Raw genomic sequence first — 23,862 nt, 5'->3', positions numbered from 1 at the left:
ATAATCCATCCTTTCTCATCCCTCTGGCCACTTGCCTAGCTCAGGGTCAAAGGTGAGCCTAACATCTCCATTCCCAAACCCCACTGCATTTAGAAAACCCTCTTCCCATAGCCATTTAGTCTCTCACAAAGGTTCTTCTATAGAAATATCCTAGGGGATGGAATCTATCTGAGCTAATACTGCGCCGCCATGCTGATGCTGCAGTCTCACCAACGTATGTTTCCCTGGGGTTCTTCGTCCTATGTCCAAGAAAATTAAGGAATGCAGACACAAGGGTCGGGGTGGAGTCAAAGTTTAATAAGCAAAAAAGAAAGCTTTCTGCAGCAGAGAGGGGAGTCCAAGTGGATTGCCGGGTTACAGCTGAATTTAAAAGCGTTTTATAAGAAACTGCTCTCTTCCCTGTAACTGTTGGAATAACTTTTCTTACCAGTAAAGCTGTCTGTGCAATTCTTCTTCTCTTATGCAGCTGTGGGTATGTCTCTAGGCAAGCACAAAGCCCCACTTCTCTTGTTTGTATAACTGTGGGTTTGTTTTAGGTAAGCCCCCTCCCTCCCTGTGCAAGTTCCCACCATGTATATGCCTGTAAAGGGGAGGAAACTTTTTCCTGGGAGCTCACTAATTGTACAAAGAACAAAGAGCTTTTGAGCTGGACCCTGTTTGCTTATCTGTTTGCAGGTGCAGCCTGAGTTTTTTTCCAGGTTATTTTATTTTTTCCTGTTGCTGTGACTTTTCAGGCAGGCCACTTCTGCAGTCTGAATTTTTCCCATATGATTTTTCCTTCCCTTCTCCCTCACTGAGAACAGGGCCAAAGGGGTGCTGGACTGGACTGTGGGAGAGGCCAAGGTGTATGCAGAGAGCTTGCAGAGGAAGGACAGACAGGGCAGCTTTCCCCAGCATGTGCAAGGAGCTTCAGAACAGCTGATGTTTAGATGGGAGCCTCGGACCTGCAAGAACAAAATAAACAAAAGCTCCCTATTGTTTATTCATTCTAATAATCTGAGAGAGACCCTAATGGTCATCAAATTCAATTCATAATTTTGAAAATAAGGCCTTGAGCCCACCTAGTGGTCTCCTGCATCCAAGGCCAGGCTGGTGGCACCTGCTGTTTACCTCTTGTTCTCCTCAAAGGAAGGAAGCTCCATGTCTACCTGTCTCTGAGGGGAGCCATCCATACACGGGGGAGTGACTTAGCATATGCTTCCTTGGAAAGAAGATGCTCACTCAGGTGTTTTTGCTTATTTTTTGGTAAGTTAGGAGAACTTCGTTCTGGTGCCTACCACTTTCACTAGACAAAAATCATGTTTACATCTGAAAGAGAAAAGGATTCCTGCTTAGTTTCCTTTTTGTGTCTGTACTTAGGGAAAAGTTAGCAGATAAACTCTACCTATTTTTTAAAAATAAGGCCAATTTAAGAGTGTCAAAAGGTTCATGTTATTTATTCAGGATTATTTGTTTTTACTCCTATACTTGTTCGACACTAGTATAGACTTACTCATCTTCACTTGGAAATTTTATAATTCTAACCCAAGGGAAATAACCCTTCTTTGATTGCTGTAATCCATTTCCTTCTTCACATGTCTTTTTATCTCTTTTTAAAGAAAGTCATACGCTTGACTTGTAACACTTCATGCTACCTGAGAAGAAAGGAAAAGTCACTTTGTGCTTGACTCACGTAAGATTCACGTAAGATGATTGAAATACCTGTTCACAAGAATAATAGCAGAGCATTATTTACGAACCTGTGCATCATATTAAACATCATTTTCTTCTCTTTATGTTTCACAAAAACAAGCTCTGCGGGGATCTCTTTTGGCAATATGGCAATCTAGTTAGCCAAATCATCCTTTCTGCTGAAAATAACTAAAAAGTTTGAAAATCAGAGCCTTCTTAAAAGCACTGATGAGCTGGCAAGAAACCAAGAAATACACAGGGCAAAATCTGAGGGGAAGTGGGAACCGAAAGAAGCAAACAGAGTCAGCTTTTAGCTGGGGGACATTTGCCAAGCTTGCTGATTCTGAGCTTCAGCTTTCATTGCCTCTGGGAGCACCAGAGGCAGGAGGCAAAGCATGGGACAGCAAAGTGGGACATCCTGGGAGACCCTCTTCCCTCAAAGATGGTACCCTGAAGAACCCCACCCTTAGTGTAGGCTTGGCCTGGAAACATATTGTAAACCAAAAGAAAATTCTTAGCCTCCCAACTGACTGAATGACCCCTCCACCCTTGGACAAGAGAATCCCAATAAAACCTGAAAAACTAGTTCAGGCTTTCATGCGCATCCGTGTGAAGAGACCACCAAACAGGCTTTGTGTGAGCAATAAAGCTGTTTATTTCACATGGGTGCAGGTGGTCTGAGTCTGAAAAGAGAGTCAGCGAAGGGAGATAGGGGTGGGGCCGCTTTATAGGGTTTGGGAAGATAATGGAAAATTACAGTCAAAGGGGGTTGTTCTCTGGTGGGCAGGGGCGGGGGTCACAAGGTGCTCAGTGGGGGAGCTTCTGAGCCAGGAGAAGGAAATTCACAGGGTTAATCACTCAGTTAAGGTGGGGCAGGAACAAATCACAATGGTGGAATATCATCAGTTAAGGCGTGGCAGGGCCTTTTCACTTCTTTTGTGATTCTTCAGTTACTTCAGGCCATCTGGGCGTATACATGCAAGTCACAGGGGATGCGATGGCTTGGCTTGGGCTCAGAGACCTGACATTCCTGCCTTCTGATATTAATAAGAAAAATAAAACAAAATAGTGTTGAAGTGTTGGGGTGGCAAAAATTTTTGGGGGGTGGTATGGAGAGAGAATGGGCGATGTTTCTCAGGGCTGCTTCAAGCGGGATTAGGGGCAGCGTGGGAACCTAGAGTGGGAGAGATTAAGCTGAAGGGAGGTCTTGTGGTAAGGGGTGATATTGTGGGGATGTTAGAAGAGACATTTCTTGTATAGAATGATTGGTGATGGCCTGGATACGGTTTTGGATGAATTGAGAAACTAAATGGAAGATACAAGGTCCGAATAAAAGAAGGAGAAAAATGGGTATTAAAGGACTAAGAATTGGGAGGCCCTAGGACATCCAATTAGAGAGTGCCTAAGGGGTTCAGCATAATTACTTGCTTGGTTGGCAAGTTTTTGGGCTCTATCCTTGAGTTTTTTTATGTTGTCATACACCAGGCCAGATTGATTTAGGTAAAAACAACACTCTTCATTTAAGAATATGCAGAGTCCTCCTTTTTCAGCAGTGAGTAAGTCAAGGCCTCGGCGGTTTTGGAGGACAACTGCAGCTAAAGAGTCAACTTGGAGTACTGATAAAGTTTGTGACATGTCTGTGATGCTAGCAGAGAAGTCATTAGAGAGGCTACGGAAGGTCGAGACAGAAGTTGAAATGCCTGCTATTCCAGTACTGAGAGCAATAGTGGAGGCAGAAAGTCCTAAACCGACCATCAAGGGAATTAGTGGAATAACTCTTCTTTGTCATGTCGGTGTCATGAGGGGAACAGGGAGCTCTTCGGTCCTATTTGCAAATTGAATTTTGGGGGAAAGGAAGACTAGTGTGCATGTGCCTGTCCAATTAGCAGGTAGACACATGTAGGTAGAGGAACCACAGAGGAAGAAGAGACCTTGTGCAAGGCAAAACTGGAGATGTAAAGTAAAAAGATGAGAAGGAGTGCTGAAAGGGGTGTCTTGTACCTAGAGTCCTAGGGATCCAGCTAGGGCGGCAGCTGTCAGAGGTTGTAATGGGGACTGATGGGGTAACTGCGTAGAGGGGGAGGTTCAATTTTCATGGTGTATGAGAAAACATTGAGTATCTATGAGCAACCTTTCACTGTTATTTTCGGGGCTGGATATAAGTAAACAAGAATAGGGCCTGGGAGGAGAGTCTGATGAGCAAGGGGAAGGTAGCCAAGGATGGAGTTCAATACAGGGTAAGTGTCTTCCTAAGCAATAATTACTGCTAACATTTTTAAGTTTATCAGTATTGATAGAGGGCTTGTCTGTAATATGGAGCTGGAAGGCTCCAATTGTTTCAGTGATGTGTGTAATTGGGCTTCGGAGATGAAGAGTAAAGGAACATCGAGAGGGTGAAAGATTACCTAGGGGAATTCCAGTGGGTCTTTGCTGAGAGATACATAAAGGAGCGGCCACAGGAATAGTAGTTTGTGTTGTGAGAGGTCCGAATATGGGGGGAGTAGAGTTAATATAAGGAGAAAGGTTTTTTAAATAAGTGCGAAGGAGGGCGGCAGCTTGCTGATGTGAAATGTCTGGGGAAGTCTTGCTGGACCTGTCTAGAGAGTAAATGAGTTCTTCAGGAGGGTAAAGATGAGGGCTGCTAAAGGAAGTTCAGAGGTGTAGGGAGACGGGAGATATTGCCCAGTCTGTCTGTAAGGCGGGGACAGCTGTGTAGGCACTGGAAGAAAGGGAAATGCAAAGCCAGCAGTTGTTCACTAAGGAGGGACTAGAAGTGGCTAGGAGAGAATGGGTAAGGTTGATAGTGTGGTGGAGATAGCTGGGGAGAGGTAGAGGGTGGCATAAGAATGGGAACGAGAATAAGAGTGAGTATAAAAGTAAAGAATAGAACTTCATCAGGGTGGAAGTATTGGAGGGTGCCTTGCCAGCAAAGATCATCTACCCACTCTAAGAGGGAGTTAAGAGTGGCAGTTTGGGGTTAGCACCAAGAGATATCAGCTGTGATGGCTTGAAGAAACAGTGTAAACCGGCGGTGTAAAGAAGAGTAGGGCATTTATAAGTAGTTGAGAATGGAGAATAGGAGTATGACCAGACAGAAGATAGTAGGGATGACTAGTTTTTTTGGGCTCGGCCTAAGTGGTTGGGGTGACTTCGTAAAGCCCTGTTGCAAAAAGTAGGGTAAGGACGAACAGACCTAATAGAATGAAGGGATGTATTAGGCTCATAAGGGTTATTACTGCTCTTCAGAAATATGAGTGAGTTTAAGGGAAGTAGGGGAGAGTACTTGCGGCTTCCAGGAGGAAGAGGAGGGATTAGGCTGGCTGTCCGATGGACACAGCTTTATTCTGGAATGGTGAACCTAGTGGGGAGGATCCTGCAGGCAGACGGCAGTCGGGGTACTATAGAAGACGAGGTAGCATCCGGTCCATCGAGGTTGTAGAGTTTGAGGGGTCAGATTCTTAACAAGAACTGATCATCCAGCTAGGATGTCTCCATATGGCTGGGGATCTGGAGTAGGCAAGAGAAGATTAGCAGCCTGGTGAATTTCCTGTCTAGCCTGCTGGAGGACTGGAAGATAGTCACCTAGAGGGCTGGTGTCTGGGATGAGGTTGGGGCCAAGCAAGAAAGTGTGTCCATATAAAAGTTCAAATGGACCGTACCCTGTAGCATCTCAAGGACAGGCTCTAATTCTGAGAAGAGCAAGAGGTAAAAGTACTGTCCAATCCTTTTTAAGTTGGAGGCTGAGCTTGGTGAGGTTTACCTTTAAAAGACCATTAGTCCATTCTACCTTTCCTGAAGATTGAGGATGGTAAGGGATATGAAGGTTCCACTGAATACCAAGAGCCTGAGAAACTGCTTGGGTGATTTGACTAGTAAAGGCTGGTCTGTCATCAGACTGTATAGAGGTGGGAAGCCTAAACTGAGGAATTATGTCTGACAGAGGGGAAGAAATGACTGTGGTGGCCTTCTCAGACCCTGTAGGAAAGGCCTCTACTTATCTAGTGAAAGTGTCTACTTAGACTAAGAGGTATTTTAGTTATCTGACTTGGGGCATGTTGAGTGAAGCTAATTTGCCAGTCCTGGGTGGGGGCAAAACCTTGAGCTTGATGTGTAGGGAAGGGAGGGGGCCTGAATAATCCTTGAGGAGTAGTAGAATAGCAGATAGAATAGCAGATGGAACACTTGAGAAGTTATTTCCTTGAGGATAGATTTCTACAATGGAAAGGAAATGAAAGGTTCAAAGAGGCGGGCTAGTGGCTTGTACTATAGCATAGCCTGCCTTTGCTGATGTGTGGTGATTAGGCCTGGTGGAACTGCCATCAATAAATCAAGCGTGATCAGGGTGAGAAACAGGGAAGAAGGAAATGTGGGGAAATAGGATGAACATCAGGTGGATCAGAGAGATGCAATCATGAGGGTCAGGTGTGGTATCAGGAATACTGTGGGAGGCTGGATTGAAGTCCAGGCCAGGAACAATGGTAATTGTGGGACTTAACAAAGAGTGAGTACAGCTGAAGGAGCTGGGGAACAGAAAGTATATGCGTCAGGTATGAGGAAGAAAATAGATTTTGGAAGTTATGAGAAATGTAGAGAGTGAGTTGAGCATTGTTTGTGATTTTTAGGGCCTCTAAAATTATTAAAGCAGCAGCAGCTGCTGCACACAGACATGAGGGCTAGGCTAAAACAGTAAGGTCAAGTTGTTTCGACAGAAAGGCTACAGGGTGCGGTCCTGGCTCTTGTGTAAGAATTCTGACGGCACTAACCATGCCTAGGAAGGAAAGGAGTTGTTGTTTTGTAAGGGATTGAGGTTTGGGAGATTAATTGGACATGATCAGCAGGGAGAGCATGTGTGTTTTTATGAGAATTATGCAGAGATAGGTAACAGATGGAGAAGAAATTTGAGCTTTGGAGGGGGATACCTGATATCCTTTGGAGAATAAATGCTGAAGAAGCAGAAGTGTGTCTTGTTGAGAAGATTCAAAGGAGGGGCTACAAAGAAGAAGGTCATCAATATATTGAATAAGGTGAGAAGCAGAGGGGTGGAAAGAAAGTAGATCATGAGAAAGAGCTTGGCTGAAGTAAATGAGGGCTGTCCCTGAAACCTTGCGGCAGCACAGCCCAGGTAAGCTGCTGGGACTGTTGGGTGTCAGGGTCAGTCCAGGTGACAGCAAAGAGAGGCTGGGATGAGGGGTGCAGGGGAATAGTGAAAAAAGCATCTTTAAGATGAAGCACAGAATAGTGAGTTGTGGAGGAAGGTATTGAGGACAAAAGAGTGTACAGGTTGGGCACCACAGGGTGGATAGGCAAAACAATTTGGTTGGTAAGGCGCAGATCCTGAACTAATCTGTAAGACTTGTCGGGTTTTTGGACAGGTAAAATGGGGGAATTGTAAGGAGAGTTTATAGGTTTTAGAAGCCTATGCTGTAGCAGGTCAGTGATAACAGGCTTTAATCCTTTTAAAGCGTGCGGTGGGATGGGATATTGGCGTTGAGTGGGGTAAGGGTGATTAGGTTTAGTGGGATGGTAATGGGCATGTGATCGGTTGCCAGGGAAGGAGTAGAGATGTCCTATACTTGTGGTTAAGGTGGGGGGATATGAGAGGAAGACGCAAAGGAGGCTTTGGGTTGGGGAGAAGGGTGGCAATGAGATGCAGCTGTAGTCCAGGAATAGTCAGGGAAGCAGATAATTTAGTAAGTGTCTCGGCCTAATAAGGGAACTGGGCAGGTGGGGATAACTAAAAAGGAGTGCTTAAAAGAGCATTGTCTAAGTTGGCACCAGAGTTGGGGAGTTTTCAGAGGTTTAGAAGCCTGGCTGTCAATACCCACAACAGTTATGGAGGCAAGGGAAACAGGCCCTTGAAAAGAAGGCAACGTGGAGTGGGTAGTCCCCGTTTCGATTAAACAGGGGATGGATTTACCCTCCACTGTGAGAGTTACCCAAAGCTTGGCGTCCGTGATGGTCCAGGGGGTTTCCAAGGCGATGAGGCAGCGTCACTCTTCAGTCGCTAAGCCGAGAAGGAGTCAGTCAGAGAGCCTTGGGCCAGAGTTCTCAGGGCTCTGGGAGTGGCTGCCAGGTGAGTTGAACAGTCTGATCTCCAGTGGGGTCCCGCACAGATGGGACATGGCTTAGGGGGAATCCTGGGCTGCAGACATTCCTTGGCCTGGGGGTCAGATTTCTGGCACTTGTAGCAAGCTCCTGGGGGAGGAGGTTCTGGAGGAACACCTGGCTGCTGTGGTTCAGGCATTTGGAAGTTCTTGTGTGCTGGAGATGTGGCTGGGGTTTGTCTCACAGTGGAGGCAAGGAATTGCAACTTTTTTCTATTATTGTACACCTTGAAGGTGAGGTTAATTAAGTCCTGTTGTGGGGTTTGAGGGCCAGATTCTAATTTTTGGAGTTTTATTTAATGTCGGGAGCAGATTGGGTAATAAAATGTATATTGAGAATAAGATGGCCTTTTGACCTTTTAGGGTCTAGGGCTGTAAAGCCTCTCAGGGTTACCACCAAACAAGCCATGAACTGGGCTGGATTTTTATATTTGATGAAAAAGAGCCTAAACGCTATCTGATTTGGGATAAAGAAAAAGGAGCATTAACTTTGACTATGCCTTTAGCTCCAGCCACCTTTTTAAGAGTAAATTGCTGGGCAGGTGGGGGAGGGCTAGTCATGGAAGGAAACTGTAAGCCGGACCAGGTGTGAGGAGGGGAGGTGATAAAAAGATTATAGGGTGAAGGAGCAGAGGCTGAGGAAGAATTGGGACCTAGCTCGGCCTGGTGAGGAGGGGAGAGGTCAGATGGGTCTGTAGAAAAGGAAGATTAGAAAGACTCAGTGATGCTTGGGGTTGGGACTGAGGGAGGGAAAGAAGGAAGATTTGGGACGAGTTGCACTGGGCACAGAGACTAGGAAGGGACTGATGTGTAAAAGAATGCCTGGATGTCAGGCACCTCAGACCATTTGCCCATTTTACGACAAGAATTATTTAGATCTTGTAGGATGGAAAAATTGAAAGTGCCATTTTCCAGCTATTTGAAACTACTGTCGAGTTTGTATTGGGGTCAAGCAGCATTGCAGAAGAAAATAAGGCATTTAGGTTTTAAGTCAGGTGAGAGTTGAAGAGGTTTTAAGTTCTTAAGAACACAGGCTAAGGGAGAAGAAGGAGGAATGGAGGGTGGAAGGTTGCCTATAGTGAAGGAGGCAAGTCTAAAGAAAAGAGAGAGTAGAGACAGAGAGGGAAGGGGTTTGGGGGTTCTTACCCTCCAGAAAAGCTGGAAAGGGGTCAGGGCACAGAGATACGAGGTCAGGCTGTGGAAATAAGGGATCAGGGCGCAGAGATATAAGAGGTTGGGGTGTGGAAATAAGGGATCAGGGCACAGAGATATAAGAGGTTGGGGCGTGGAAATAAGGGATCGGGGCACAGAGATATAAGGGGTTGGGGTATTTGCCCCTCCCCCAGAAAAGTGGGACTTGCTGCTAAGGGTGAAGGAGAAGGGGTTGGGGATTTCTTGCCCCCCAGAAAGGTGGAGAAGAGGTAGAGACATGGAGAGAAGGGGTTGGGGTACTTGCCCCTTCCCCACAAAAGTGGGACTTGCTGCTAAGGGTGAAGGACCAAGGCAGGCATCCCTGCGTGGTCTGACACCTCTGAAACCTGGGTGAATAATCAGAGAGGCATCCCTGCAATGATTAAACACCAAGGGAAGGCTGCTTTCCCTAGTCCGTGACCGGCGCCGGAGTTTTGGGTCCACGGATAAAATGTGTCTCCTTTATCTCTACCAGAAAGTGAAAGGAATTGAAATCAAGAGAAGGGAGAGATTGAAGTGTGGCAACAAGATTGAAAGGAGAAAGAGGTCGAGGGATAGTGAGGGAGGTTGGAGAAGAGAGTAAAAAGAGGCTGCTTACCAGATTTGAAATTGGTGAGATGTTTCTTGGGCTGGTTGGTCTGAGGACCTGAGGTTGTACGTGGATCTTTCTCACGGAGCAAAGAGCAGCAGGACAGGGGATTGATCTCCCAAGGGAGGTCTCCTGATCCGAGTCACGGCACCAAATCTCATGCATGTCCATGTGAAGAGAGCACCAAACAGGCTTTGTGTGAGCAATAAAGCTGTTTATTTCACCTGGGTGCAGGTGGTCTGAGTCTGAAAAGAGAGTCAGCAAAGGGAGATGGGGTGGGGCCGTTTTATAGGATTTGGGAAGGTAATGGAAAATTACAGTCAAAGGGGGTTGTTCTCTGGTGGGCAGGGGCGGGGGTCACAAGGTGCTCAGTGGGGGAGCTTCTGAGCCAGGAGAAGGAAATTCACAGGGTTAATCACTCAGTTAAGGTGGGGCAGGAACAAATCACAATGGTGGAATGTCATCAGTTAAGGCAGGGCAGGGCCTTTTCACTTCTTTTGTGATTCTTCAGTTACTTCAGGCCATCTGGGCATATATGTGCAAGTCACAGGGGATGCGATGGCTTGGCTTGGGCTCAGAGACCTGACACAGGCTATGATGGGAAGGGAGGTCAGATGCGTTATACCCTTCCCTTTGGAGTTTAGGCACAACTGACCAGAATTAGCATTAAAATAGAGATCATAAGATGGACAAAACAGACTTTTTGTGGCAATAAGATACCAAATTCTGAAATGACTCTTGTATGGCATCACATGACAACATGCCCTAAAGGAAATGAAAATATTTTGCCCCAAAGTCTATTTCTTTGATGTATTTTGAAGTGGTCCTGCAAAGCCTTCTTTTGTGGGGGAAATCTGCATTTTGTAGAGAAGCACCTTCCCTTTCTAGGTCTTTTCCTGATCAAAAAGAGATTTAACTGAGAATCTGACACCTTTTAAGATCCAAAAGGAGACATTTACAATCTATTCTCTCTGAAGCCTGCTACCTGGAAGCTTCATCTACATAACAAGAACCTTGGCCTATACCACACTCCTTATCTTAACTCAAGCATTTCTTTCTGCTGACTTCAACTCTTTAGGCAGAGCTTAGCTCTTTCAACCAATTGCCAATTAGAGAATCTTTGAATCCACCTATGACCTGTAAGTTCCCACTTTGAGATGTCCCACCTTTCTGGGCCAAACCAATGTATACCTTACATGTATTAATTTATGTCTTAGCCTATAATTTCTGTCTCTCTAAAATGTATAAAACCAAGCTGTAACCCAGCCACCTTGAGCATGTGTTCTCAGGACTTTTTGAGGCTGTGCTACAGGCCATGGTGACTCGTATTTGACTCAGAATAAACCTCTTTAAATATTGTACAGAGTTTGGCTTTCATTCCATCAACAATACCCACCTCTCCCATTACCACACTTTAGCATTGCAAGGAAAATTGCCCAGCTCCCTGGTGCAGGACAGAGCTGGGAAAACCCACCTCTGCAAAGTTGTAACCACGCACACTTGTGGTTCAGGGCAAACTCCAAAAGTGGGGCTCAGCCCAGGAAGCCACATGGGTCCTTGACTCCACGTAGGAAGGAATTCAAGAGCAAGCTGACAAAGTGAAGTGAAAGCAAGTTTATAAAGAAAGCAAAGGAATGAAAGCGTGGCTACATTATAGGCAGAGCAACCCTTATAGCCTGCTGATTGGCTATTTGTGTGGTTATTTCTTGATGACTTAATGAAGCTGTGGTGGATTATTCATGAGTTTTCCAGGGAAAGGGTGAGGATTTCCCAGAACTGAGGGTTCTTTTTCCTTTTAGAACATATAAGGTAATTTCTGGGTATTGCCTTGGCATTTGTAAACTGTCATGGCATTGGTGGGAGTGTCTTTTAGCATGCTAATATATTACAATTAATGTATCATGAGCAGTGCGGTCACTTTTGTTGCTGTCTTGGTTTTGATGTGTTTTGGCCAGCTTCTTTTTTGCACATTGTCTTATCAGCAGGGTCCTGTAAAACAAGTCCTGCTTAATTCCTGTCTCACTTGCAGCACAGATTCAAACTATCTAGTTAAAACAACAACAATAATAACAACACACTTAGGGTGAAAATTTAGCTTCAAGGGACGCTGGACTAGTGGTTTCCCAGGCATCTGACAAAAGTAAGTATAAATCCTTTAGGAAAGAATCTGCCTTAATTCCAGACATCAAAGAATTTCCTCAAATAAATTTCCAAGGAAAACAAGTAGCTCACAGAAGAATATAATAAACATTTAAGGAAACAAGGTACTATGAGGTGAATAAGCAGAAACAACAAACAATAGAAACTGACCTGCAAAGACCTTAGATACTGGAATTATCAGACACAGAATTAAAATTCTTTTAATGTTTAAAAAATAGACAAACTTTAATGTCTAAAGAGATTTGAAAGAGAATGAAATAGAATGTCTAAAAATAAATGTAATAATTGAAATAAAAATCTGCATCAATGAATTTGACACCACCCATATTAGACATGACTAAAGAGAGAATTGGTGAATAGGAGTATAGCTCTTGATTTACACAAAATACCGCATAGAAAGGGAAAGCCATGGAACATTTGAAAGCAAAGTTATGGAGCAAGAAATGTAGAATAATAAAGTTTAATATGGGTGTAACAAACCTTTCAGAAGCAAAGAAAAGAAATAATAAGACAGATATCATATTTGATAAGATAATGGCTGAACATTTTCACAAACTTTCAAAAGATAAAAATCCATATACAGTAAGTCTGAAAAGTACTTAACATAGTGGAACTGCAGAATACCAATTGCAAAGAGATCTTAGAAGGAATCAGAGAGAAAAGAGAGAGTACCTTCAAAGGAGCAGCAATACATTCAACAGGTCTCAACAGCAGCAATAGAAGTGGGATGACAGCAAAATTGTGTTTTCAAGTGTACTAAGAGAAAGTGCACATACACACACACATACACACACATCCCTCCAGCTAAAATATGTTTTAAGAACATGATATTGTGATTCATAATTAAAAAATGTATATTTTAGTCTTTTTCCCTATTTCCTGGCACAGAGCTCCTAAAGCCTTGTAATTTCCTCAGCTATAGAGGTGCTAGTAACATCTTTTGTTCTAATACTTGGTCTTTGACCCCAATTTCTGACACAGAACTCTTAATCCCTTTGAGTTTCTTGGGTGATAAAAGCATCTTTTGTTCTAGTGAGGTGACTGTCAGTGGGCTTCTGGTTGGGGGCTGGTCACCAGAAGACCAAGTTGTGATTAGAATCTTGGAATTGTCAGTCCCACCCTCGACCTCATCCTTTGGGATGGGAAGAGGACCTGGAGCTTGAGTTTGTAACCAGTCATTCCTGTGTGATGAAGTCTTCATAAAAATCCCTGAACTATAGGGATTGCAGAGCTTCCCAGTTGAGGACTACATGCATGTGTCAGCAGGGTGGCACACCCCAACTCTTTCAGACCCTGCCATGTGTACTTCATCATCTGGCTGTTCATCTGTAACCCATATAATAAACTAGTAAACATAGGTGTTTCCTAAGTTCTGTGAGCCAATTTAGCAAATAATTGACTGCAAGGAGGGGATCATGGGAACCTCCAATTTATAGCCAGTTGGTGAGGAACACGGATGGACAGATGACAACCACCTGGGCTTTTGATTGGCATCTGAAGTGGGGGTAGTCTTGTAGGACTTTTAACCTGTGGGGTCTGACACTAATTCCAGGTAGACAGTGTCAGAATTCAAATGAATTATAGGACACTCAGTTGGTATCCAGAGAATTGGAGAATTGGTTGGTATGGAAAAAAACCCCACAAAAACCCACATACCTGGTCACAGAAGTGTTGGGTATGAGTTTAGAGGAAAAGAGTTTGTTTTTCCTATATTCAAAAGGTGAAGGCTAAATAAAGACATTTTTAGACTACAAAATTTGATGCCACTTTAGAGAATTAAGGGAAATTCTAAAGGATGTTCTTTAAGGAGGAGGAAGATGATATTAGACAGGAGTTCAGAGATGCAAGGAATAAAGAAGAAATAAAGTGAAATTGTATGGGTAAATATATTTTAATGGCCCCATAAAACTATTGTTTTATAACAGCAATGTTTTTTAGGCTTTATAGAGACTACACAATTCATCCCACAATTGTGCAAGGTGCAATCTATGTAACAAATCCATATTCACACACACAAATGCAAACACATGTGTGCACACATATCCTAGTGATTCTGCCTCCCTGATTGACTCTAACTGGTATGGTGGCTAAGCTAGCCTTTTTATTTCTGCCCCTACATTGGGCTCAAGAATATTGGGGAATGCAACTGCGGGTGAGTGAGGATATGTATGGGAGTTTAACATATCAAGAGGCATGGGCAGCCTGTGTGGGGCTGGGGCACAGTTTCCATCTTGAATATGGTAGATGAAAACCTGTTAGAAAATTGCAAAGTGTGTAAGAGGCAATGTTGACTTAGGTGGGTGTATAGTGAATCAAACTGCTCATAAACAAACCCTCTCTCCCAATCCACTGGAAGCATGGATTGGAAGACTATCTCGTGGTCCCCATGACCAATAATAATAACTAACACTAAGGCAGAGGCAGAGTACTAAGCCCTTTACATCCATTATCATGACCAATCTCCTAAATGACCCTGTGAGGGTTTTCCTAATACTATCTCCATTTCACTGATTAGGACACTAAGGTTTTGTTGAGTTAGATCATTAACTCACACAAAGCAGGGGTTAATATATGCCCAGGCTGTCTGATGTCCAGGTCCATGCTGCCTGCGCAGAATGGGTGTAAGACAGTCATGGGGCTGAGCAGGTTGAGAATGGAAGCAGTAGGACTTGACTGACTCCAGTGAGCCTTTCCATAGGAGCAGGAGATGATAACCCCCCCACTTTTTTTTAAGAGACAGGAACTCAATATGTTGCCCAGGCTGATCTCGAACTCCTGGCCTCAAGCGATCCTCCCATTTCAGCCTCCTAAAGTAGCTAGGATTACAGTTGTGAGCCACTGTACCTGGCCAAGAGGTGATAAACCTTTTTACCTGTTTCTTCATGGCTTTATCTGCTGGTGCAAAGCAGGGAATAATGCCACATACCTAGTCATTGATATCTAATATTGATATAATATAATGCCTAATATTGTACCAGCACCATTTCCTCAGGCTTTGGTTCTCTCTGCCTATTTTGGGACAGGCCTATCCAGAAACAGTTGGTGAAGTTCTTAGGTTCTTTCACTTGAGCAGACCTGTGATAGGCACATCAACACCAAGTCCAGACACGGACCCAAGTTGGGTCTAATCTCTTGCAAAGACACTGACCTAATTGGCAGTGGATGGTCAGGTGCTGTTCCAAGAATGGCTTTTTCGTTGCTATCCTTAGGGGAGGCATGTGAGAACCAGGCAGAGATGTGGGCCTCTTTCTAAGATCTTACAACCAATACATATTTCTTGGTTGAATACAAGTTCAAATATGTTCTGACACCTTCAAATACTTATTTTGTTATTTCTGATTAAATTAGCCCTAAACCATTGATTCTCCGACATTATTGCCTAAAAGCCTCTTGCCTGGCACTCAAGGAATCTGGCAGAATTTTTCCTTTACAAATCGAGTCACTGGAACCAAAACCTTTGCCTGTCCTACTATCTAGTAGTCATCAACACAGAAGGTCAGCTGAGTGCAGTTGAACTATTTTACTACAAGGTAATGATGCCTTGAGTCATGTACCTTGTACAAGTAGAGAGGCTAAAGGAAAATCTTTTTATTATTATTGAACCTAGTTCGAAAGGTTTGACCTCATTAATCGTTACCCAGATCAATTGTTTTTCTGTATTTTATATCCTAGGCTTATGTTTTTAGACCCAAACTTGGGGTTCTTTGGCCTTTTTTTTTCTTTATTCTCCTATACTTCCTCTCAATTCAAATTATGGCTATGTCTTCCTTAGCTATCTGAAGAATTATTATCTTTCGTGTCTCTGTTTTCCAGACTTATGTATGAGTATTCATTTACTAATTCATTCAGTCATTCATTAACTTATTCACTCAATAGCTATTACTGAATACCTTCTATTGGCCGGACACTGGGACAGGATTAATGTAGATATAGTCTTTGCCCTCAAGAACCTCGTATGCCACTGCAGGGGACAGATCTGTAAGTCATGATAAGACAATGACAAAAGTTCTAAATGGAATGTATGTGTCGGTACTAAAAAGACAAAGAGAAAACTGTACCCAACACTTCTAAGACATGTCAGCATGTGCCTTGCTGAAACAGGTGACATTTAAGTCAAATCTCGAAAAAGGAGCAAGCTGAGGTTCATTTCATGACATGACACTGCCTCTCAAGTGAGAAGAGAATAAAAAATGTCCATCTGATTCTGAAACTGTAAAGATACTAATGACCTTAGTAAGCAATGTGGAGTGGAGCCAAGTGGAAGAGCTGAATAGCTGTGAAGGTGATGATCGTGGGAAACCATTCACAACTACTGATTGGGAATGAAAGGAGAGAGATGGGTCATAGCTACTTATGCATGAGACAGGGTTGTGGATTTCTTTATTAAGTTGGGAGGTGGGAACATTTTAGCAAAGAAGACAGTAGAAAGGAATAAAACAATATAGTAACTTCATCTCTGGGAGAATCCTCTCTCAGTTTCTACAAAATTACTTATCTACTCTTCATCCCTTCTTCTTCTTTTTTTTTTTTTTTTTTTTTTGAGACCAAATTTCGCTCTTGTCGCCCAGGCCGGAGTGCAATGGTTTGATCTCAGCTCACTGCAACCTCCACTTCCCGGGTTCAAATGATTCCCCTGCCTCAGCCTCCTGAGTAGCTGGGATCACAGGTGCCTGCCACCACACCTGGCTAATTTTGAACCTCTGACCTCAGGTGATCCACCTGCCTCAGCCTCCCAAAGTGCTGGGATTACAGGCGTGAGCCACCGTGCCCAGCCCCATTCCTTCTTTTTGATCTTGTGGTTTCTCTTACTTGGTTCTATTATTTCATTTCATTACCCTTCCTTGTCACCAGTTTGAAGATTATTATATGCTCTATGCTTTGCCACTGTCTTCTCAATATAAATCTTAAGACCTAAAAACCCAAGAATACATTACACTAAGTCAAGCTACATCCAAATCAAAATACCCTAAGATTTACATATATTTGAGAAGTAAGCTCTTTATTTATGTAAGTATTCTAGCACCCTTAAGGAAGCAAAGTGCCAATGTCCCTGAAGAATCTTTGGCAGCCTGCCAACCAACACTGGGTCAGCCTCCATCTTGAGGAAAACATGGACCAGAGGCTGCGAGAAGACCCCAAATGTGAAACAGTGTCCTAGGCTCCATCCTTGAGGGTCATATAATGTGCATCTTGCAAAGCTTGATGTTTCCTGCCAAAACAGGTTTATGGAAGACCTTTGAACCTTAAAGAATTGAAAGATAAGAGTCCACTTAGTTGCATAAAAAAATGTCAACTGAACACAGAGAATTATTATGCCTTTTGGCCATCTTGATTCCTGGGGGTCAGGGTGCCTTTAGAAATTACTTCCACTTTCTGTCAAGGGCATGGTACAACAAAAATGTAAGGATGGAATGGAGAAATTTTGATTTTTTCCTGTGATTCATAGATCAGTTACAGATCCACGTTTCAAAATGTCAGACCTGCTTTTACAAAGGCAATTTTGTTTGTAACTACATGAATAATACATAAACACAGTTACTGGAAAATATTCTAAAAATCAAGTCTATTGAATAAAATGTTACGAGTCCCCTTTGACACAGCAACCCTACTGTCTCCTCACTTTGGCATATACTTTTCTAGACCCTTTTCTAGGCATTTTTGTACATGGGTATGTGTAAATTAAATTTATTTACACATCTAATTTTAAATTTTAAAAAATATTTTGCATAAGATTATTAATCTGCAATTTGAGTTTTTTATTTAATAATATAGCTTGAAGAGCATAACAATCTCATATGTTTTTTGTATTCACTGAATAATATAATCTGAACATGTAATTGATTTATTTAGCCCACCATTAGTGGATATTTAGGTGGTTTCCAACTTTTTATTTTTATTTTCTTTGCTATCTAAAAACAGTGCTGGAATGAACATTCTTGGGCATGTACCCTTTTGAACATGTGCAAATATGTGTGTGGAATAGATTCCGTTTTTCCTGCTTTCCATCATACTCTTCTTTAAGGTGGTGCTTCCTCCCTCCTCCTACCCAGATTCCCTTGGATTCTGGCTGTGTCTGTGGCCATCCTTTGACTTCTATATGCTTTTTTCCTGATGGCCACACCTGTGGCTCTCTTGAGACTACAGTCCTGAGTCACTTTGCTCACACCAGCAGACAGCCAGAATTGCCTGGGAATTTAGGTTCCTTTGGGGTGGGCCTTAGCAGATGACAGGTGGGACGTGTTATGAAAACCCAGCTCTTTCCCTTGAGTTGGGACATACTTGGAGGTGTAATGTACATTTCAAAGCTCCTCTGCATCATCAAGCTAAAGCTAGGATTTTGCCTAAAAGTACACTCTCCCTTGACTTCTCTTCCCTTTCTGGCTGCCCCACTCATTCATTAGCACTTCCATAACTCATCACTTGCATATGAATCCTTGACTCAAGGTCTGCTTCTCATGAATCCAAGTCAGGAACCACCCTGTATTGAACAAACTTAGTACAGAGTTTCCTCCAGAGAAAGCACTGTCCTTAAAGATTGCCCCTGTCTCCCTCTTGGGAGTTGTATTTGTTCTACCCACTAGGATGGTTGATTTTATCCATCAACTTGACTGGGCCACAGGATGCCCAGATAGCCGTTTAAACATTATTTCTGGAAGAGGTTAGCATTTGAGTTGGTGAACTGAGAAAGGCAGATAGCATCATCTAATCCATTGAGGGTCTCAATAGAACAAAAAGGTAGAGGCAAGTTGAATTAATTCTGCCTGACTGCTTGAGCTGGAACATCCATTTTCTCCTGCCCTCAGCTCTCCTGGTTCTCAGGCTTTTAGAATTGGAATGGAATCTACACCACCAGGTCTCTGGCTTTCAGGCCTTCAAACCACACAACTGGCTTTCCTGGGTCTCCAGCTTGCAGACAGCAGATCATGGGACTTCTCAGTCTCCATAATTGCATGAGCCAATATGTTATAAAAAACTCTTTTTATATATCTTCTACTGGTGGTCCTTCTCTGGAGAACCCTGACTGATACACCTATAGTTTAGGATGGATTTGGATGGTTCTAAGGCTCTTTATCCCACTAAAAGCCTATTGTTGTAGAGCCCTTGGGGAGAGGGATAGGATGGTAGAAGAAAAGAGCAGACAGCAAGTCTCTGGCACCGTATCCAGGCAAGAGCCCCGCTGCTTATGTCCCTAAGCTGCCGGTCTTCTAACCTTCTACCTTTGGCTTCAATTACAGGCAGATGTAGGGTGTCTGGACAACAAATGAGTTCTGGAGATAAAAAAGGGAGAGCCACTGGTCAATAAGGCCAATGATAACAAAGCCCATTTCCTTTCCTTTCCCTGGTTTGCAGGTGGAAGGCAGTCTCTGCTCAATGTTAACTTGATCTTGAATGCAGGCCTGCCTGTCTAACCATCTGCAGTGTGACTTGGTTGCTGCTGTGAGGGAAGCTGCTCACTTTTTCTTGCTTTGCCTCGCTTCCCTGTGCGGTGCCTTTCCACATTCCCTAATAAGAAGGCAAAGGAGGTGTTTGCCTGCTGCTTTCTGCCAGCTCAGTGCTGCTGCAGTAGAGCAGGATCTTGGACCCAGATCTTCCGTCCTCCGTTGTAACCCTCTTGGTAGTACTTATCCTCACCCCTTCGTTGAAAGTAGAGCTGAAGAAACCCATTCTACACACACTTGCACATGTTCAACAGGGTATTTGCATAGGAATGTTCACTTTGGCATTGCTATGATCCTGAAGATGTGGCTGTGCTTCTAGTTTTATGGCCAGGACCGATTATGCAATAATGTTTAGCCACCCATGATGAGTGGAGATCAGGGGCAGCTTATGATGGGCAGATGGGATGAGGAAAGAAAGGAATGTATAAAATTGGCTCCAGGATAAAATCAGGGTCACACTGGGGAAGCTTGGAGAGATAACATAGCTGGCTTCCATCCCATTTCTAAGACAACTTCCTGCAAATTTCTGGAATGAATGCTGGAGAGCACAATAAAACTGAAGCTCCACTGGGATAGACTAAAAGATGGGGAGAGGATCATGGTGGGGAATTCTTCTGCACTGTCCTAAATTCTCATTTAACCTATAGATATGACCTTCCAAACTACTTATTTTAATTTATTTAATATTCACTTTTAGTAGCTAAGCTGTTTGTTTCTATAGTTACCTTCCCATTCTTTGCCCTCTACATTCTAGGATAGAACATGTCATCCACGTGAAATTTTAAACTTTAAAACCCTGGAAGCCCCGATCATGTTGGTAACCCTGAGCAAGTCACTTAGGCTCTGTCCACCCCACCTGTTACCTCCACCTATCTTCCTCCAAACTGTAACATGGAGTAACTATTATATCTTCAAAGCACAGATCTTTTGAAGGTTATGATGTTGCATCTGAAACTTATGAAGTCTACCAAACATGTCTAAAAGTCGTTAATTTCTTAGAGAGATTTGCAAGTTAAAACTAAAAAAGAATACCCATTAATACAAGACTGACTTTTAAAATTTTTATTTTATTTTTAGAAATGGGGTCTTGCTCTGTGGCCCAGTACAGAGTGCAGTGGTGCGATCATAGCTCACTGCAGCCTTAAACTCCTGGGCTCCAGTGATCCTCCCATCTCAAGGCTGACTTTTTAATCATAGAAATGTTAAGAATGCACCTAAATATCTTAGTATTTTTTCCCTAATCCACATATCTTCAGCTCACAAAAAAAGTCCTTATGGCCGGGCGTGGTGGCTGACGCCCAGCACTTTAGGAGGCTGAGGCGGGCGGATCACCTGAGGTTGGGAGTTCGAGACCAGCCTGACCAACATGGAGAAACCCTGTCTCTACTAAAAATACAAAATTAGCCGGGCATGGTGGCGCATGCCTGTAATCCCAGCTATTTGGGACACTGCGGCAGAAGAATCGCTTGAACCCAGGAGGCAGAGGTTGCAGTGAGCCAAGATTGCGCCATTGCACTCCAGCCTGGGTGACAAGAGTGAAACTCTGTCTAAAAAAAGAAGAAAAAAAAGAGTCCTCACATAAAATCATTTGAAATACCATATTCTGGCATTGCTTCCAAAGGTTTGAATGTCAAATAGATCAAAAGTGGGTTAAAATGTATTTAAAGAATGAGGTGTGTGATCTTGGGAAAGAGCTTAGGACAGGTTGGCATATATTAAGAATATGAAGACATGGAATATATTAATATATGAAGATATTCTCACATCTTTTCATCTATAGACTCAATGACATCAGCAATATTAGCCTGCTTGCATGGGTCAGATTGGAAGCACCTGTAAGTCTGTATTAAGTGTGGCTTTTAAAGCTCTTGCATATCCATGGATGAAAGGCATGCTATAAATAACATTATTACATAGGTAAATTGTATACTTTTTGCATTATTTAAATGATTCAAGTGAGTAGCTTTGTAATGGAAAGCACCGTTATGCAGAATTGTGCCTGGGGAAGGTAATTGCAGCAACATTGCTGTGGTCTGAAGGAGAATGAATGAGCACTCATCCGTGAACCTCCTTTTCCATCCTGGCACCCTCAGTGCCTTGATGTGGACAATTAAACTGTTGCTTTCCCTTCTTGCACCAGTTCTAACATTCAGGAATTGTAACAACATCCTCCCTTTATTTAAACAGATATTTGAAAACTAAATTGTCTGAATTTATGTGTTTATTAATAATTATAATCCATGAGAGTACTGAGGGAGTTCTTTTATTTAAAAAAACAAATGCTAGTAGCTGGGCACAGTGGCTAACACCTGTAGTCCCAGCTGCTTGGGAGGTTGATATGGGGGGATCCTTTTAGCCCAGGGGTTCGAGTCCAAACTGGGCAAAATAGTAAGACTCCTTCTTTCTGAAAACAAAACAAAACAAACTCCATGGTGTGATATAAATATTTGATACACCTTTTGATAACAGTTGTATTGTTATTTCCCTAAAGTCTAGTGAATCTGATTAACAGCGATTTAAAGCAAATGTGAGCAAGAAAGGGGAAACCTAGATGAACCCAATTATTACTGAAGACAGCAGTTCTGGCAAAGAAAAGGGTATCTGGTGATTCATATGAGCATGCGGTTAGGAAGGGAGCTAGGCATAAGACATGACCTTGGACATTTATACTCCATCGTGTAGAATATGCAGAGTAAATCAAGTGAATCCGACTTATAAGCTGGAGTGGGAAATCTAATTATCACAGAGATTTGGAAGATATTGCTTAAAATGGAATCCAGGGATGGAGAAGATTGTTCCACACAAAAGAACCAGACAGTTAAGTAGCAAGATTGGGTTCTATAATACGTCTGGATATCCACGAACCTGCCAGCAGAAATCTTGGTGGAGCATAGGGGTAAGGATTGAAGAAAAAAATGACAAAAACAATACCCTAGTGGACATGTGCTATAGGCCACCCGATCTGTTAGAGGAAATAGGTAATACAGTTCCAGTGCAAATATTTTGTAGCTCACCTATCTTTAGCTGAAATTACAATATCCAGAAAGCTCTAAAAGGTTTTTTCATGAATCATTTGGCAGCAACATTTGACCTGATATGAAACTGTTTAGAGTCTTTTTGGTTGGTGGTGGTGCTTGTTTCTGTAACTTTTAATTAAACAAAGTGCACACACATGGGAGAAGACATTAGGAAATACAGATCAGAGTAGAAAATGAAAATCACCTATGGTTCCACTATGCAGTTATAAAAACGATTCATGCTTTGGTGTGTCTCCTGCCAGACTTTCATAGCTTTCTACCTACCTACTTACCTGCCCACCTACTTACTTACCTACACACCTACCTACTTACCTGCACACCTACCTATCCACACACCTACCTACTTACCTACACACCTACCTACTTACCTGCCCACCTACCTACTTACCTGCACATCTACCTACTTACCTGCCCACCTACCTACTTACCTGCACACCTACTTACTTACCTACACAACTACCTACTTACCTGCACACTTACCTACTTATCCATACACCTATCTACTTACCTACACACCCACCTACTTATCCACACACCTACCTACTTACCTACACACCTGCCTACTTATCCACACACCTACCTACTTACCTGCACACCTACCTACTTAGCCACACACCTACTGAATTATCTACACACCTACCTACTTATCTACACACCTACCTACTTACCTGCACACCTACCTAGTTATCCACACACCTTACCTACTTACCTACACACCTGCCTACTTACCTGCATGTCTGCATACTTACCTACACACCTACCTACTTAGTGCCTACTTACCTACACACCTGCCTACTTACCTGCACACCTACCTACTTACCTGCCCACCTACTTACTTACCTACACACCTGCCTACTTACCTGCACACCTACCTACCTACTTACCTGCATACCTACCTGCTTACTTACATGGCTACCATCCACCTATCTATAATACCTAGACATGTAAATCTATCTATACAATATGTAGCTATTTTTACAAAGGCCAGGGTATACCATTGTATACAGCACATTGTTTAATGAACTGCTTTCTTTTTCATTAAGTAAGAGATCACAAACAGCTTTTTGTGAAATTTACTACCCATTTTTTTCATCATATAAAATGACCACATTTATGGGAATATACCTTATTTATATAACCAAACCCAATTTTATAACATTTCATATTTTTGTATTTTTCACTATCAAAAGCAATGCTATGATGAACATATCAATAACTAGATCTATGCAAATAATTATAATTATTTCCTTAGTATGAACTTCCAACTGTAAGATTGCAAGTCAAAAGATATTTTGCTAATTGTTTTATAAATTTGCCAAATAACACTCCAAAAAGTTTGTACTAATATGTAATCACCCCTCCGACATCTTATCACACTATCAATATGCTAAAATGCTCATTTTCCCGCAATCTCTCAACACTGAGTAACAACGTTAAAAATCTTTACCAACCAGTTAGGTGGAAAATGGTATTTAAAGATTTCAATTTCACTATCTTTGATTACCAGAGAAATTGAGCACTTCTTCATGAATTAATCTGACAATTGTATTTTTTAAATAAACCTTTTTATTGAGGCAAAACACGAGTAAAGAAAACAGTACAAATCGTAAGTATAACTCAGTGAGTTATCACAAGGGGAATACATGCATGTAACAGCCACAGGTCAAAAA

At 42.6% G+C, this 23,862-nt stretch overlaps 3 long non-coding RNA genes across 4 annotated transcripts in view, besides 1 other annotated feature; 2 read left to right on the top strand and 1 right to left on the bottom strand.

Annotated features, from left to right (window-relative positions):
* Positions 422–716: a silencer, noted in NCBI's record as "tiled region #2982; K562 Repressive non-DNase unmatched - State 22:ReprW". NCBI's record gives its function as "represses a minimal TATA promoter and a strong SV40 promoter by Sharpr-MPRA in K562 cells {active_cell/tissue: K562}" and the evidence as "EXISTENCE:reporter gene assay evidence [ECO:0000049][PMID:27701403]".
* Positions 2,303–15,680, bottom strand: LOC124904544 (uncharacterized). 2 transcript variants are annotated; one of them, XR_007066932.1, is made up of 3 exons: positions 15,606–15,680; positions 9,565–9,800; positions 2,303–5,178 (listed from the first exon to the last, which is right to left on the bottom strand). It is a non-coding gene; the product is annotated as an uncharacterized LOC124904544 (long non-coding RNA). The 2 variants fall into 2 exon arrangements; XR_007066933.1 differs by lacking the exon at positions 15,606–15,680 and having other exon boundaries at positions 9,565–9,928.
* LOC107985357 (uncharacterized) overlaps positions 6,526–23,862 on the top strand; it is a 53,351-nt gene continuing 36,014 nt past the window's right edge. The window contains exon 1 of the long non-coding RNA XR_007066934.1: positions 6,526–6,695. This is a non-coding gene — a long non-coding RNA (uncharacterized LOC107985357). The remainder of the gene's footprint in view (positions 6,696–23,862) is intronic.
* LINC01737 (long intergenic non-protein coding RNA 1737) lies at positions 15,776–18,699 on the top strand. Its single transcript, NR_146479.1, has 2 exons — positions 15,776–15,997; positions 18,519–18,699. It is a non-coding gene; the product is annotated as a long intergenic non-protein coding RNA 1737 (long non-coding RNA).

The sequence above is a fragment of the Homo sapiens genome, chromosome 1 (assembly GCF_000001405.40).
Source record: "Homo sapiens chromosome 1, GRCh38.p14 Primary Assembly".
NCBI classification, from domain to species: domain Eukaryota; kingdom Metazoa; phylum Chordata; class Mammalia; order Primates; family Hominidae; genus Homo; species Homo sapiens.
The sequence above is the reverse complement of the archived record's forward strand: the minus strand, read 5'-3'. Positions and strand labels throughout refer to the sequence as shown.